At 34.2% G+C, this 18553-nt stretch overlaps 1 annotated feature.

Moving 5' to 3' along the window:
• Positions 11822 to 12000: a silencer, noted in NCBI's record as "fragment chr2:186113556-186113734 (GRCh37/hg19 assembly coordinates)". NCBI's record gives its function as "represses an EF-1alpha promoter that drives an FKBP-Casp9 reporter gene in an ReSE screen in phorbol 12-myristate 13-acetate-treated (for megakaryocytic differentiation) K562 erythroleukemia cells {active_cell/tissue: K562(+PMA)}" and the evidence as "EXISTENCE:reporter gene assay evidence [ECO:0000049][PMID:32094911]".

Consider the following 18553-nt stretch of genomic DNA (forward strand, 5'->3'; position numbering starts at 1 on the left):
AATCTACAAACTCAATGCAATTTCTATCAATATTCCAGTGGTACTTTTCACAGAGATAGAAAAAAACAATCCTAACGTTTATGTGGAACTATAAAAGACTCTGAATTGTGAAAGCATCTTGATCAAGAGAACAAAGCTGGAGACATACATCTGTTGATTTCAAAAAATATTACAAAGCCACAGTAATAAAAACAGTATGGTACTTAAAAAAACAGACTAGTAGACAAATGGAACAGAATAGAGACCCTTGAAATAAACCCATGCATTTAAGGGCAGTTGGTTTTAATCGGGGTGCCAGGAACATACAGCAGGGAAAGAGTCTCTTCAATAAATGGTGTTGGTAAAACTCAGTATCCATATATCAAAGAGTCCAATTAGACTTTATCTCACACAATATAGAAAAGTCAACACAAATGGATTAAAGACCTAAATGTAACACCTGAAACTATTAAATTCCTAAAAAGAAGAATAAAAACCTTATTGACATTGGTATGGGAAATTATTATTTTGCTTATAATCCCAAAAGTACAGTCAAAAAAAGCAAAAATAGACAAGTAGGGGTATGTCAAATGTAAGGGCTCCTGCACTGCAAAGAAAATAATCAACAGAATAAAAAGACAACCTACAAAATGGGAAAAAACATTTTCAAACCATTTGTCTGATAAGGGGTTAATATCCAAGATACATGAAGAACTCAAAAACTTAAGAGCAAAAAACCAAATTACCCAATTAAAAAATGGGCAGTGGACCTAAACAGACATTTCTACAAAGCAGAAATACAGATGGTCAATAGGTGTATGAAAAGGTGCTCAACATTACTAATTATCACAGAAATGCAAATCAAAACAATGACATATCACTTCATGCCTTTTATATTGTCTATTATCATAAAAGACAAGATAATATGTTGATAAAGATGTGGAAAAAAGAGAGCCCTTGTACACTGTTAGTGGAAATGTAAATTAGTATAGCCATTATGGAAAACAGTATGAAGATTTTCAAACAATTAAAAATATCATATAACTCAGCAATCCTATCTCTAGGTACATAATCAAAGGAAACAAAATCAGTATCTCAAAACGGCATCTCTACTATGTTAATTTCAACATATGGAAACAAATGTCCATCAATACATGAATGTATGAAGAAAATCTGGTATATAAATACAATGGAATATTATTCAGCCTTAAGAAAGGAGAAAAATTCTTTCATTTGCACACGTGGGTGTACTTAAAGTTCATTTTTCTAAGTGAAATAAGCCAAAGAAAGACAAATACTGCAAGATCTCACTTATACGTGGAATCTAAAAAATTCAAACTCATAAAAACAAAGAATAGAACGGTAGTTTCTGGGGCTTAGGAGGTCAGGGAAATGGAGAGAGATGTTGATCAAAAGGTACAGAGTTTTAGTTATACAAGATTAGTAAGTTCTGGAGATTTAGTGTATAGCATGATTACTATAGCTAACAATACCAAATTGTATATAAAATTTTGCTAAGGGGGTAGAGCTTAAGTGTTCTACACACATACACACACACACACAGATGCACACACACAGAAATGGTAACTATGTGAGGTGATGGATATGTATATTAACTTGATCATAATAATAATTTTACAATGTACATGCATATCAAAAAATCATTTTGTACAACATAAGTAAATCCCTTATTTATTTGTCAAGTATACTTCAATAAAGTTAGAGAATTTCTTTTTTAAGTGGGTATTTTCAGAAGTGCTGGAAATGGTCTGTATCTGGGGTCCACAAGTTGCAGCCCATGATACAAGTTAGAAACACCACCCACTGTTTTATTGGAACACAGAAATGCCCATTCATTTACATATTGCCCATGGATACTTTTACACTACAACAGTGTTGAGTAGTTGCAACACGGATTGGTTGAACTAAAGAACAAACATATTTGGCCTTTGATAGAAAAAGTTTGTCAGTGCTTCATCAACATTTTTATCTGTGTTGTGAATATATGCATATGTGTATAGGGGTAAAAATTTATTGAGCTATACACATTTCTGCACCATATTGTGTGTAAGTTATAACCTGAAAAGGAGCAAATTAAAAAAATTCAAAAAGTAGGTAAATAAAACCAAATACTTCACAAGAAGATTAAACTATTGACCAATATCCTGCTTGAAGAGAGAAGCAAAATTTTTTTAAATATTGGCAAACTGAATCCCAAAATATATCCAAATGATCGTATATTGTGACCAATGATATTTCTACCAAGAGTGCAATTTGGTTTTATATTTGAAAATAAAGTAATGTAATTTACCACATTAACCAATAAAAAGAAAAACATAATTATCACAATAGATTTTTTTAAAAACCTTTTGTCAAACTTTAGCATACATCCTAGGGAAAAAAAAAGAAAAAAGTGCTCAGCAAACCACAGTTACTTTTGCGCCAATCTAATAGTGAAAAAGGAGAATCTTCAGCTTAATTATGATCATTTATGGAAAATCTACAGCTAAAATTATACTTAATTGTGAAAGACTGAATAATTTTTCCTAAATTCAAGAATAGACAAAGGCTTTGTGCTCTTTCCACTTAAATTTGACAATATGGTGAAGGTTCTAGAAAGTTCAATGAAAAAGGAAAACAAAACAAAACAAAAATGCCTAGTGTTTAAAAGGGAAAACTGTTCACTGATGACATCATTATGTACAAAATCAATACAATTTACTAAAAGCTACTAGAATGATACAAGATCAATGTACAAAAACAATTTTATTAGTATTTACAAGCAAAGAACAAATGTAACATGAATTTTACAAAATAATGTTGTATTATTATCAATATATTTTTTAAATTAGAGGTAAATCTGGCTAAGTATGCAAAAGACCTGTGCATTGAAAACGATGAAACATTACTGAGTGTAATTAAATAAGACCTAATAAAGTGATGAGCTATATCATGCTCCTGGGTTGAGATATTCAATATTGTTAAAATGCCAATTCTTCCCAATAGATTTATAGTTTTAACATGATCTCTATCAAAATCCCATCAGGCTTCATTATAGAAGTAGAAAAATTGATTGTAAAACTCACATGGAAATGCAAAGGATCTAGACCAGCCAAAACAACTTTGAAAAATAGCAGACTTGGAGGAGTATCACTGGTTTCTAGAATCACTCTCAAGCTACAATAATCAAGAAAAAGAGATGGTAGCATAACGATATACACTTTGATCAATCAATACAGCAGAGAATCCAGGAATAGGTCAACAAAGAAATGAAAAAATGCATGTTTTAGCACCTTTGTTGAAGAAGATCCTCTCTTCCCAGATCCTTCGCATCTTTAGAAAGGTTATTCTACAACAAAGGATGATAAAACAATTGGATACCCATATGTGAAAAAAAATTTGTTGTATACCTTACAACATTAAACAATCTTCTGAAACTGGCTTGTGGACCGAAATGTAAGATATAACACTATTTAACTTCTAAAAGAAAACACAGGAGAAAAACTTTGTGACCTTGGTCAGGTAGATATCTTAAATATTGTGCAAATATGCACCAAAAATATAGTCTATAAAAGACTAAGTTGTTAAATTAAATGTTAGCAGAATTAAAACCTTCTGCTCTTCAAAAGACACTCCTAAAAGAACAAAAAGATCAGCCACAGACTTGGAGAAAACACTTGAAAATAACATATCTGATAAAAGTCTTTTGTCCAGAACATATAAAAATATAATTTTCAAACTGAATAATTAAAAAAAAAGAAGTGGGAAAGGTTTTGAGCACTCACTTTACCAAAAAAGATATAAAGATGACAAATAGACACGATAATTCATTAGAAATACAAATTAAAACCACAATGCTATACTGCAACACATTTTAAGAATGGCTGAAATGAAAAAGACTAACTGTACCAAATGTTACAAGGATACGGAGGAAATGGATTTTTCAAATATTGTTGGTATGAATATAACATGGTATGACTGGAAGTGTTTGGCAGTTATTACAAAGTTAAACATGCACTTACCATATGGCCCAGCAATCCCATTTCTAGCAAAGTGTTAATTTATATTCACGCAAAGGCCTATATATGAATGCTAGATAGCAGTTTTGTTGATGATCACCAAAGTATGTAAATAAGCAAGATGAATATAATTGTGACATATCTATTTAATGGAATACTTGTCAGTAACAAAAAAAACGACATTTTGATACATACTACCACATGAATGAATCATTAAAAATTATGCTGAATAAAAGAAGCCAGACAAAAGTGAATATTTACTTTGTGATTTCATTTATATAAAATGTGATAAATTCCAAACCAATCTGTACCGGCATAATGCTGATCAGTGGTTGTGTAGGTTAGGAGGTAAGTGGGCAGGGGTGAAAGGAAGGATTTACAAAGAAACATGAAATCACTTTTGAGGGGGATTGATATGGCCGTTACGTTGATTGTACATGGGTTTCACAGATTGTATGTATATCAACATGTTTCACACTGTATACTTTAAATATATGTGATCTAGAATATATAAATTATACCCCATTAGAGTTTTTAAGCTTTTAGAAAAGATTTACAAAATGCTATTGCTTCAGTGACAAAATATAACTTTTGATTTAATTGTTCAGATGATTTTAAAAGTGTCTACAGCCAGGATACATACAGAGATTATTGAATTCTTTTTTTTTTAACCAAAACTGCCTGATGCAGTCCTTGAATATATTCTCTTAAAAGACAATTGCGGCCGGGCGCCGTGGCTCACGCCTGTCATCCTAGCAATTTGGGAGGCCGAGACGAGCGGATCACAAGTTCAAGAGATCGAGACTATCCTAGCCAGCAGGGTGAAACCCTGTCTCTACTAAAATACAAAAAATTAGCTGAGCGTGGTGGCGAGCACCTGTAGTCCCAGCTACTTGGGAGACTGAGGCAGGGGAACAGCTTGAACCCGGGATGGGGAATGGGAGGCGGAGCTTGCAGTGAGCCAAGATTGCGCCACTGCACTCCAGCCTGGCAACAGAGTGAGAATCCATCACAAAAAAAAAAAAAAAAAAGACAATTGCTAGGTTCTTACTGTGTGTTACTGGAGACTGACTACAGACATATGTCAGGTAAGCTCAGCCTAGAAATGACTATCATGTATTTGGTAATGCTAGAGAAACATACACATATAAAAGGGGCTGCTAGGTAGCTAACTAAATAAACATAAATGATATAAACTGGAGGGAGCAGTGTGAGACGTTCAGATGAGTTCAGGGAGTTCAACCCATACATATGCAGTATATTTCTCTGCCTGTAGGTTTGATGATAGATCCCTCCAATGGTCTTCCATGGCCATTGCCATATGCTTTGAATTACATAATTCTCTCCAAGCCAAAGAAAAACAAGAAGCATTTTTTAAAATTTTTGTTTCTTTGTTGTTGTTATTGTTTAAATTGAGGGTAGCTTTGTTGTTCAGAAATAGGATGTAGAATACCCTTCAGATTATAAAACCCTAGGGAAAGAAGGCATGTTTCCTGATGGGAGAGGATGATGGTAAATCTATGCCATCAAAAGAGCTGAGACCACCACTAAGTGGTACAGTAGAAATTAGGCTTGTGATCTCAGAGGAAAGTTTGGATAATTGCAGATTCTTGTGCCATCACCAAGATGGTGATATGGTCATGTGAATGAGCCCTAGATGATTGTGCAATAAATGCATCCCCATGTGTCTATGCTCAATTCTGGACATAGCTGTGGGAATTCAGAGTGAAAATTAAGGTTAATGGTGAAGATTCACATGAGCAAAACTGGGTAGCTAGCTTGGAAATAGAATGGAATAACCGTTGCCTAAGTCAGATCCCCAGAATACGTTACCCAGGTTCTTGAAACAAGTGAATTTAAGCAATGCAAAAATGGGTCACATTATCACATATTTGCTTCTACATGTTGAAGTAACAAATGTAATAAGTGACTGTACTTCTTTGCTAGTAGGAAAGAAGTTGCCTGAAAATGGTATAAGGTATAATTCCCAGAGGAAATGTTTGTTAATAGTTGGCAGGTAAATTATATTGGATCTGTCAGTAGCCAGGGGGTGGCGGCAGGAGTAGGCACAAATGGGTATTGAATAAAATTGACAATTATTCCATTCTAGGCTTTTTATATTTTGTAGCAGAACCAGACATAATGAACATAAATAAAGGATTGAAGGTAGAAAAATAACTTTTCAATTTGCTCACATGGATTTATTTCCTGTGATCAAAGTATTCACTAGTGCACAAAGACAAGTAGTGTGCACAGGAAAGGTAACATACTATTACATAAACATATCACAGACCTTATCACCCTTGGAACATTGGTCCCATTGTTTTTGTTGAATATACAATTGACAATTAAACGTTTTGATTTAAAATATGAGGTATGAAAAGGCTTGAAGGAATACTTAAATGGACTAAATATTTTCACAAAAGAAATTCAGTATAGGAGGGATTTAACTGTAAATATTTTTAAAATAAGAATTTGGAAACGAGGGGGTGGGGAATGTGAGATATGACATAACTACATAACTTTATAACTTTTCCACCTCCCACAATTTTTCTTTTATTTCACATATCAGGAGAGAGAGAGAGAGAGAGAGAGAGAGAGAGAGAGAGAGAGAGATAGAGAGAGAGAGAGAGATGCACAAGATATGGTATCCATACTAGAGAATTTGACTGAATGCATGTATTTCTGGAATATCATCAGGGTGGATTATAACTTCCTCATAGTAGTTAAATTAGGACTAAATGTGAATATCGTCTTGTTACCAAGTGACAGGATCAGACCTGTAGTTATTTTCCAATCACATGCTGTAACATTTTCCTGAAGTCAGGCTGAGGAAGAAACCCTGATGAAACAGATGCAGCTGTCGGTTCTCTGGAAAATCAGTATAATACTTCCAACAGCCAATACTACCAGGGCAGAATAGGTATGAGTTGTAAAAAGTAATAAGTAGTCATAAGAAAATATTGTGGTGAGTGAGAAGAGGGCACAAAAAGTGAGTAAGGACCACCAGGCACATGGAAAGGATGTTTAAGTTATTAAAGTGAGAGTATTTTAGGACATGAAAAAAATAGTCTTGGCTATTTCTCCCAGTCTGCTGCTATGGCCAGCTGATGCAGGTAGAAGGGAAATAGGGCTCCTGAAGATTGATGGGCTCTGCCTAAAGACTGTATCTGTTTAATTTGGACAAAAGGCTTGCAGAATCCCCTGAACACTGAACTAACAGGTAGCAACTTTAACCTACTATTTGGTTCATAATTTCTGGGGTATATTTACTAATTTATTTCTTTTTCTGGTAACCAGAGAGAGAGAAAAAAATGATCACCTTTTATTTGCAAGGGTGGAAATTCCTAAACAGCCAGGCATCTACAGTTTGTGTGACTATGAATCAAGATGACACATTGCTAAGACAGGTGTCTGAGTGTGATGGGAAGTGGATTTCCACCACATATCTGAAATATAATTTGTTTTACCCTTTCATCTACACTGAATATAAATCAGATAAAATGTTTTTATGGCAAGTGGCAATGAAATCTGAATAGCTGAGGAGAGTAAACATAGTAGTGATATGGTTACCTCATTCTTGCAATGTCTGTCCTTTGACACATCAGAGAAAACACTTTGAGAGGACTTATGGCACACTTAAACTGAGCTGAATTTAGAATAGAAAATGCCCAACCAATAGTCTCATAGAGCACACAATTTTTGGTGCCTATTGGATACCTAACCTGTACACGTGTGACAAATGCCCAATGGCAACAATATATAAAGTGGTTTGAATAGCACTGACACCACCATCTCAGATGTAAATTGGGAATTTTCTGAGCCAGTCTACAATTGCTCAGTTAAAAGAAATGACCATTTATATGGTTTGGATGTTTGTCCCTCTAAATCTCATGTTGAAATGTAACCCCGTGTTTGGAGGTGGGTCCTGCTGGGAGGTGTTTGGATCATGGTGTTGGGGGCCTCATGGATGGCTTAGCACCATCCCCTTGGTGATAAGTGAATTCTCATTCCGGTATTAGTTGTTTAAAAGAGTCTGAGCCCTCCCATTTTTCTCTCTCTTGCTCCTTCTCTCACCACGTGATGTCACTGCACCTGCTTCAACTTCTGCCAAGAGTAAAAGCTCCCTGAGGCCTCACCAGAAGCCAAGCAGATGCCAGCACCACACTTCCTGTACAGCCTGCAGGACTGTGAGCCAATAAAACCTCTCTTCTTTATAAATTACTCAGCCTCAGTTATCCCTTTATAGTAATGCAAGAATGGCCTTATACAACTATCATGATTTAAAAAAGATACTTGCTAACACTTATTTATGATACCATGGGAGAGACAATACCCTGAAAGATTAGCGTGCCAATTTAGCGTGCAGGCCATGGTGACTCATGCCTGTAATCCCAGCACTTTGAGAGGCTGGGGCAAGAGGATTGCCTGAGGCCTGGATTTCAAGACCGGCCTGACCAACATGGCATGACCCCTTCTCTAAAAAAAATAAACCTTTTACAATTAGCTGGGTGTGAAAAGATAAACAAATAAATTAGCCGAGCATGTTGGCTCCTCAGGAGGTTGAAGCAGGAGGATCACTTGAGCCCAGGAGTTTGAGGCTGCAGTGAGCTATGATTTTGCAATTGCACTCCAACCTGTGCAACAGAGCAAGACCCCATTTCTTTAAAAAACTTATAAATAAATAAATAATGTCCTATGCTTTGAACCAGTGACTACTATATATGGGCCTCATTTTCCTATAGTCATTGTAAATGGGCCTAGGAATCAAGGCATGGAAATGGTCCTTCTAACTAATACACCTAAAGATCACTGAAATACATGTTTTATTTCTCTTCCAGAAACTTTGGGTCTGACTGAGAAGAAAGTTTCCATCAAAGGACAGAATACTCACATTGAATTGGAAAGTGAAATTTACCTCTTGGCTATTTTGAGTGTCTCGTACTAGTGAAACAGGAAAGAGAAAGGGGTTATGGTAATAGCTGTGGTGATTGATTCCAAGCACCAAGTGGAAATTGGCTTGCTGCCTGCTACACAATGGGAACAGAGAATGCTATGCCTGGAACTCAGAGGATTTACTGGATGGTTTCAAATATCTAGCTCCCAGTTATCTCCAGTTTGGATAGAGGTGAGCTACTGATAAAAGGAGACTGAGAATCTTGCAACACTGGATGTTGGCATAGTAAATAAAAAGAAAAAAGAAACATTTTACTTCTATTTTTATCCCAAGGATAAGGATGGTTAAATGGGAGAAAACACATTCCTCATACTTAAATTTAAATTCTGAAGTACAATATGTCTTTAGAACAGAAGTAATGATTTCAGTACAGGGTAGTGTTTAAAGTCCTCGTCTTGAAATCAAACACAGATCTTTCAGATCTTGTACTTTTTATCTTATTGAACTCATTTCTTAAATTTTCATTCCAAAATTATCCAATTTGTATAATAGCTGATATAGTTGTTAAAAAGGTTGCATAGAATAATACCAAGTGTCTGGCAACTAAGTACTTAGTAAATAATAGCTTTTATGTATATTACTATAAAATATGATCAGGTGAGCATTAATTCGAATATGGAATCTGGAATGATAGATATGAAAGCTGACTTACTGACAATTCATTTCTACTCCTCAATTTTATAGGAGAGGAAATTGAGCAAGAAAAAGAAAAATAAAGAAATTTGTCTAAGATCAGAGTATTGAATAGAGATACAAAAGTATGTAAAATCAATTACTGTATAAAAGAATAAATATCAGCTTTATAAAATTTGTAATGTGGAAACTAGTAGTCAGAAACTTTTAGGCCAAAAACAAATATGCTAAGACCACAGTAATAATTTTAATTCCTAGCCACAAGTTTAACAATTTGGTAAATGCACATACTACAGTACATCATAAACCAGCTTAGTATGCAAAAATTAAGAATGAGATTATCTCTTGAACTAGAATCTATGAGTCTGAAGAATAGTCATTGGCTTGTTAGTTTACATTATTATCATACTTTCCATTAATGGGATCCTTAGGCAATAGTTGTTATGTGTACAGAAGTTTTGATACAGTATTTATCAAGAATTATTTATTTTAAATTGTGTTTTTATAAGCTTTTAAAGGTTTATAAATAACAGTGTGTGTGTGTGCTGGAGGGGGTGAAGGGTTTGTATTCTTCCTGAAAATGAGATGGAAAACTGTTTAGATATTTTTAAAGAATACAAGCAAATAATCCTGAAATGTAAATCAGAAAAAGGGATTGTATTTCTTTCTTGAAACAGCTTGAATCACTGACATTTTATTGATTTCCATTGAGCCCCTATATCCTACACAATCCTATGGTAATCCCTAGCTGATTAGAATGTTTTATCATTTTATTTAGAAACTAATGTAAGATTTGGGGAGAAATATAATTGGAACTGAACAAGAGAAACAGTCCCTGGCTTTAGATCTAAAAAAGAAATTTCAGACTCAGAAAATACTGAAACAACATAATATTCTGTGAGAATAATATTAGAATAAATTAATTAAAATTAACATGAAAATAAGGTAGCACTTATAGGTATAGGATTCAGTGCTTATAGTTAAAATAATTCCAAATACAGTACGAAATTCACATAATCTTGATCCAGGTTAAGATTGAGACTTATTAAAGCTCAAGATAGATTTTTGTTTGATTTTTCTTGCCTCAAGGACTGTTTTATCCAGGAAGTTATTCAAGCTTTTTGGCGTATGAGTATTGTCTGTTATTCCTTTTAAAGGAAAATTGACTTCCTTCTCTTCTTCCTCTGGAAACATCTTCATAATAGGCTGTAAGACCCACATTTTAATTGAGTCTTTGTAATAGGACTATTATTATCACATGGGGAAAGTCACAGGGTGATTTACTAAAGACTGTGGACTCTCTCTTTTCTCTCAAAAATTTTTAGCCCTTCAGTTTGAGTTTGAAAGTTTAAATATAATAGAACTGCTAATCTATGATTTTTGGTATTGGACTTCTGGAAATAGACTCTGCTTCTCATTACCAGTTGAGTTATTGATCCATTAAAGGGCATGTCTACAAGCCCTCTCTACTGAATTCAAAAGCCCGGTGCTGTTGCTTCTCTTTTGAAGTCAGACAAATCTTTGTTCAAGGAAGAGTCAATAAGGAGTCTTATACTTCTTTTGACTTGAATAAAATTTCTTTTACATTCACACTGAGAGCTCTTTCCTACAGAATGGTGACATACATTTATTTTTGAAAGCTTCTTTTCTCCAACTTCCATATGTAGATTTTTGTTGCCTCTATTGCACACAGATGAAGTCCTGATTTAGCTCTAGGTAGAAGTAATTTCATGTGATAAAATGTCTAGAATTCTTCTGTGAAGGCTTAAATTTTAAAATGTTAATCTCTGATCTTTTCTATTGGCTCTAAATGGGATGCCCTTCCTATTGCCTGTAGAAAGAGGCAAAACAAAAGTCTTAATACTAAATTCACTGAAAACTTAATAAATTCTACAGTTAAAAACAGTAGTAAAAAATCAAATGTCATTGATAAGTGACATAGTAACAATAATCAATGCTTATTAAATGTAAAGATTTCACATTAAATTGTATATTTCTGAAGGCCACTGCAGTAAGGCAAGAGAGAAATGAATAAATCTTGATCAAACATCAAAGTAATGGACAATGAGTATAGAGTTGTGAGAAATATTTAGAAGGTGGTAAAGACAGCAGGACTTGCCCAGCATTTTGGAAGTCCAAGGTGGTGCATCTCTTGAGTCCAGGAGTTTGAGATCAGCCTGGGCAACATGACAAAACCCCATCTCTACCAAAAAAAAAAAAAAAAAAAAAAAGAAAAGAAAAGAGAGAGAAAACATTGAGCCATGAATGGTGGTGTGCATCTGTGGTGTCAGCTACTCAGGAGGCTGAGGTGGGAGGATAATCTGAGCCTGGGGAGGTAGAGGTTACAGGGAGCCATGATCACACCACTGCACTCCAGCCTGGGTGACAGAGTGAGACCCTATCTCAAATAAATAAATAAATAAATAATATAATAAAATAAAATGATGCCATGCAAAGAGGTCACAGAGACACAGTCAGCACTAAGAAATGCTGATATAAAGTAGAGGTTATTAGAAAAACTTGCAATCAGATAACAGTAGAACATATGCAACCCTATAAACACTAATTATCCTACAGCATAGGTGGGTAGTTTGCATATAACATGGCCTAATTTTTTTTCTCTATTTCTGAAATTGCTAAGATTTGGTATTGGACACCTGAAGTGTTTTTAAAATTTAATTATATTATCTGTTTTATTTCCTGTATTTGTCTTCCCTTAATCAGGAATATTTTCAACTTCACAAAAAATTATTAAGTAAAAATATCTACTCTTATATGTATAACTTAAACAACTTCTGTTTTGTTCTCTGAGTGGTTTTTCATAGCACTATATCTTTTCTCATGTCTCTGAGGAAATTGTCTTTGGTCATCCAAGTTTGTTTTTCCTGCAGGCTTGTGTCAATATATGCCTTTCTTTTTCAGGGCTTTCTTCAAATATTTGGTAATCAATGCTTATGCACTCTTGTTTAAGAAGGCACCAAGAAATTGAGCAGAAGCTCAGAAGGCTTAACAGGTGAAGTTTTCACATGGATAATCTGAAAACATCTTTAGGGATTTAGTTTAGGCTGCTTATACTACTAAGATAAAAAATCTTTTTATTTTCTGCCCAGAGGACATCAGCCTGGCTGCCAATAATAAGCGATGAGGGCAGGAAGGGGCCTGGGTATTTTGTCGGTCACCATGTGGATTTTCAAGCCATCCTCTTGTTTTTAGTATTGCACTCCTACAGCTAGATGTTCCTGTTGGGCTCCATATATATGTCTCTGGATCACCTTTTAGGGAGACCAATTTTTAATTTTCTAATAGTATTAAAGTAGGACTCTAAATAATCTACCCATTTGGAAAAAAGGATTCAACAAATCCTTCTGTCTTCAAGCCAATATGCCACAGAATTTAGAGTCATCAATTTTTTTAAGGATTTTATGGTTTCTGCAGAGGAATCATGTTACTTTTGTGTTTCTCCTGCTGTATAGCTCAAATATGTTTCTCAAATTTGCTGAAGTGGTTTCCACTAATCCATAAGCTTCTAAACTTCCAAAATTGTGTTGCCATGTATTTTTCAAGATTGTATCACTTATGTCAATATTTTACTGTCATTTTAGTAAAATTTTAGAAGAAAGTTGGAGAAAACACATGTGCTTAACTTGCCATTTTTAACAGAAAGTCAATCCAATCATTTACTGGATTTTCAACCTCAACTTCAAAAAGTGACATTTGTACAAAATGAATATCTTCATGTCACCAAAACTTTGTCATGTTGCTTTTCTTTACCTGGTGAAATCCAGTGAATCATCTCTCAGAAGACATCTTAATAAATTACAGAAGTTATATGTTTGATGTTAGGCAGAATTTAATTTCAACATTTATTATTAGTACATGATAGCTGTATGACATTGGAGGGAATGGTTTCCTATCTGATAACATTGTTTCACATCTCTGTAAAACAGGTATATTCTTAGAAACTTAATTATTCTCATATTTATTCTATATTCTTAGAAACTTAATTAGAGGTTTAAAAAATAACCCTTTAAACTGCACAGTTTCTTGGTGAGCTTCAGATGAGAAAATTTGTTTATGTAAATCAACTATTTAAAGCCATAATCTTTAATCTTATGTTACAGTGATATATCTCACCATGTGATATTCTTACCAATCAGCAAAATACCTTACAAGCTTTGAGAGCAATTCTTTGAATATATGTCTATACTTACAGATATCTTTCTTTATCAGTGAAGCTAGAAATAATTGAAACATTTTGACTAAGGCTCTCTTTTTCTTCAAGAGTTTTAAGAAAATTGTCAAATTTGATTCTTCATATTTATCCAAGACAGGTTGAAAGTTACTCTATTAATATTTGATATCAGATTTGAATACAAACGTATTTAAATTTTAATCCTCTGTTCTTTCCAAAATAAAATGTTTTCTCTTATTTTTAGTTTATTTTGAAAAATTCAGTATCATCCTTTTCCTTTTGGAAATAATTCCTGAATATTCTTGTTACCATGTAATTTTTTTCTATGTAATTTTTTCTATATAGTTTTTTCTATATAATTAAGAGTATATTTAAGTTATATATTAAAATGAACTCCATACACACTGATGTACTACCAAATAACTGTTTAGCTTAAGCATAGTAACTGGAATAATTTTGTGTAGCTATGTTTAGAAAAAATAGCACTCTTCACATCTACAAATAATGTTAGACAGATAAGTAATTCACTTAGGGTATGAAAGACTATTTTCAAATTCCAAGTGTATAAAAATCGGTGAAGAAGAAATTGTTACATTTAGTTAACTATTACTTATTTGCAAAGATCTTTAAATTTATTAATAATAACAGTATAACTTTAAACATATAATTATTATAGATTCCAAAATGCAAATTAGACAGTGCAGGCACACAAGAAAAATAAGACTAAAAAGTGATACACAAAAATATTATGGTTATTTATATTAATTATTATTTGAAATCCCTGCTCAAATAAGTGCTATCAAACTGAACTCTGCTAATTCTCCTTTTACTTTCCTGAAATATTTTCTCTTTTTCTTTTATGAGAACCTCTTATTCTATCTACCTAGTAAATACAGAAAATTGACCAAAGTCTGTTTTTAATGAGAACACATGATCTGATTTCTCATGCTTAAATTGAGTAAGTACTCAAGTTATTAATAACTTATGATTGAAAAATATTATACGCAGTTTGATAAACAAGTTATTATCCAATAGAAATTTTTTTAATGTTTACCAAGTTTTTTTGGTAACCAATGCCTGTATGTAGTGCTTAATGTATAGTATTGTATTCACATTTCCTTAGAATATGACCCACATACTAGATAATAAGTACCCAAACTAACTTATTTAAACTTGTAATCTGCCCTCACTACAATGATCAATACTCTCAATAGCTCCAGCCCTATGGGGCCATTTTTCCCACTCTCCACAATTCTCTGACCTGCCTTGTGCTCTGGAAGGCTAATCTTCATAGCGTCTTCTTCAGGCTCCTTGACTCTGTGGCTTTAATTTGAAGTTTGTCATCTCATGACACTCTCAGGAAATTAGAATATACAAGAGACAGGTCAGAATTTTTATTCCCATGGTTTATTCTTTGTTAAGCATTTAGTTTGGCCATGATGGATTTCTTTATTTAAGACTACAGCTTCTGTAGGCCAACTGTATTCCCATGGGTACAGTGCCCACCATGTGCTGCTTTACAGCTCCCTTCCCTTGGCACTTCACATCTAGATGCAGTAACGGCTTTCTAGTGTTGCTAGTCCTTACATGCTTCCATAGCCATGTCCACCTCTTTCAGTAGCAGTCCATTTACTAATTTGCATTTAGTCATTTTTTTCTGAGTGTGCCATTTTTTTTTCCTTTTTAGGGGGGGCTGGAACCCTGGTAATATATCCTCCTCTGTGTTTTTTTTATTTTTTTTTTTAATTTCCATTACTAGCTTCTTAGATTTACACATTTATTGTGTACAACATTTATTGTTTATTTTTCCCCACTACAGTATGAGTGGTACATAAACAGTACCCCTGCCACCTATAACAGTGTCTAGCATATAGACATCTAGACACCTAAAATATTTGTTAAATGGATAATTGGAAAATTGCATTCAGAATTCCAACTTGGTATGCTAAGAACACATCCTATTTCATAGCTGATTTGACAAAAAGACCAGTAAGTCTTGTACTCTTTGCTGTTAGACTGTTGAAGCAGATATTATTTTGTATTCAAAACAATACTACCTACTTTTTGGTCAACAGAAGCAGCTCCAGCAGAGCAGATTGTGTTCACTAAAGCCGTGAAAGAATCTACTGGAGTTGTGTTGAAGGGGAAAATAGAGGTTTAGGATCCTCAGCTAGGGTAAATTCCCAGGTTGTCTTAATGATACTTTGAAAAGGGAAAGGATTTACATTTTTAATTGCCATACCTTCAGTTTTTAACTGTAACAACTTCAGTTTTAACTTAGCCCTTCATGTTTTACATCATAAGTATACCTCTTATTTCTATCCCCACTACCACATACTTAATAAAGAAAAGAAAACTAAATTAATTCATCAATAAAACCTGTATTCCACTTAGAAAAAAAGTGATTTATTTGGAACAAATACTTTGATCAATTTATTAAGTTAGCAATATTCATCATATAATGTATTGATTGTAAAAGGGCGCACAGCTTTAATCCCAAACTCCACGGGGCAAAGAAAGACATATGTTGTCATAGTAAGAAGGAACTTAGTTGCCAAGTGCCAACTGGGACACAGCAAAGAAAGAAAACACAATTGAAAGGAAGATAGAGAAGGAAACAAAAAAGACAACCTAATCGGTAAGTTTTTCTTTATGATCTTCATTGGGCACATCTTTTATAAATGTATGTCAAAACCCTTTTAGTAATGACAGCTTGCTTTAACTAACATGAGGCTATTTAATCATCAAATTTAGTTTCAATATTTATAAATTTCCATGCTTAAATGTGTTTAAAATGTAATAAAATATGCAATCTATATATGCAACTTACTATGTCATGAACCACTCCTCAGACTGAATGCTTAAACCTGTATGTCTGAAGGATTTCAAATTTGATATTACCATGTTATAGTTGCTGTTTTTCATTACAAATTGTGATGGTTAATTTTATGTGTCAACTTGTCTAGGCTATGTTGCCGAGATGTTTAGCCAAGCACCAGTCTAGAACTTGCTGTGAAGTAGTTTTTAGACATGATTAACAATTAAATCAGTAAAGCAGGTTGTCCTCCATAATGGCAGTGGGTTCCATTTAACCAGTTGAAAGCTTTAAGAGAAAAAGACTGGTGTCAACCAAGGAAGAAGAAATTATGGTCCAGACTGCGTGTAGCCTTAGGACTGCAATACCTGCTCTTCCCTGCGTCTCTAGACTACCAGCCTACTCCGCAAAATTCAGAATTCCCAGCACCCTAAATCGTATGAACTAAGACCTTAAAATCTCTCTCTCTGTGTATCTCTTCCTGTATCTCTCTCTCTCTCTCTCTCTCTCCCTCTCTCTCTCTGTTTTCTCTGGAGAACTGTGACAAATATGCTAACTTTTAAAACATAACTTACAAGTTTCTTTTAAAACTGGTTTCTCTGTATTTCCTGCAATTTCTTCTATTGTGCCTCTTGTTTTACATGCTGCAGCCAAGTTGTTGTTTTTTTTTTTTTTCCTTTCCATTTTCTAAAATGCATTGTACTCAATTCTACCTACAGGCTTTCTTAAAGCTCCTTTCTCTCTCAGGAGCATGCTTCACCTTACTGAACCCTGTTCCTGCTGTATTCAATGTACCACATATTTTAGCCTAATGAAAATATTCTCAGTGAAGTCTCCCAATCCTCCATGAAGAAGACTCCTTCCTCTGTCACAGAGTTCCATGGATTCTTAATATTTTCTTTATTGTACATATCACAGATTGTAATTTTAACAGGTTCTTACCAAATTTGAAAAACTTACTTTAAAGAGTTCACTTACTGTGAAACCTTTAATGCAGAAACAAAATGTTATAGTGTTGGGACTCAGAAAGTGACACCCCAAAGACTGGCACTTTGATATGCTGAGAGGCATTTGAAGATGCCTCAGAATCAAGGTTCCTCTAAATTTGTCTTGTCTCCCTCTCCCCAAGCACAAGAAGGGACTCTCTCTGGAATTTCCTTATCTGAGAAGCCTTTCCAAAAGAAATGCAATTGTCTTAAGAATCTCATCAAATAACCAGGAAGGATCAATTACCTGAGAAGAGAAGACACTAGGAGTTATTACCACATCCATATCGACTTTTCACCTGTTCTTCTGAGGGCGAGTCCAATAAATTACCTGGAGGTAATTATCTGCGGAATAAGGCAAGTTTTGTTTCTGTGCACTTCTGCACCTCAGCTTCCCAAAGATAATCATTTATTTGCTACTAGCCCTATCCATATCCCAGTTTCCCTTTTCCCCATGAAGAGGGTATTTAAGCCTTGATAATCAAGTCCCTCTCTGAGTTCTGTCTGAGTTCTTATTTTGTGTGACTCCAATGCACACATGTGCTTGTAACAAATTTATTATGCTTTTTCCTTGTTTACCTCTTTGTTTTTATTTAATGGTGTCAGCTGTGACCCTTTACAATGGGGAGGAACAGAATCATCCCCTTTTTGCCGGTACAGTTCTGTGGGTGAAGATGGAAAGATTGAGACACCTATTCATTCTGGAGCGTACAGATGAGGTACTGGGACCACTGACAAAAAGCCAACAAAGAAAGATAGAAATTTTTGCCAAGGTCTCTTCTCCTAGATCTCTGCATCTAGAACCTTGTAGAAAATGAAAGATAAACATTTCTCCTTATCTCTTTCTTTCCAAATTCACGTTAGCAGGAGAAAATAATTTGTTTGGATTGTGACTCTGGTGTAAATTTGGTTTTAGGATGTCCACTTATTTTTGAAATGCTCCCTTCCATAAACAGCTATTATTTTTCTGTG

Source organism: Homo sapiens, chromosome 2 (assembly GCF_000001405.40).
Source record: "Homo sapiens chromosome 2, GRCh38.p14 Primary Assembly".
Classification (NCBI taxonomy): Eukaryota; Metazoa; Chordata; class Mammalia; order Primates; family Hominidae; genus Homo; species Homo sapiens.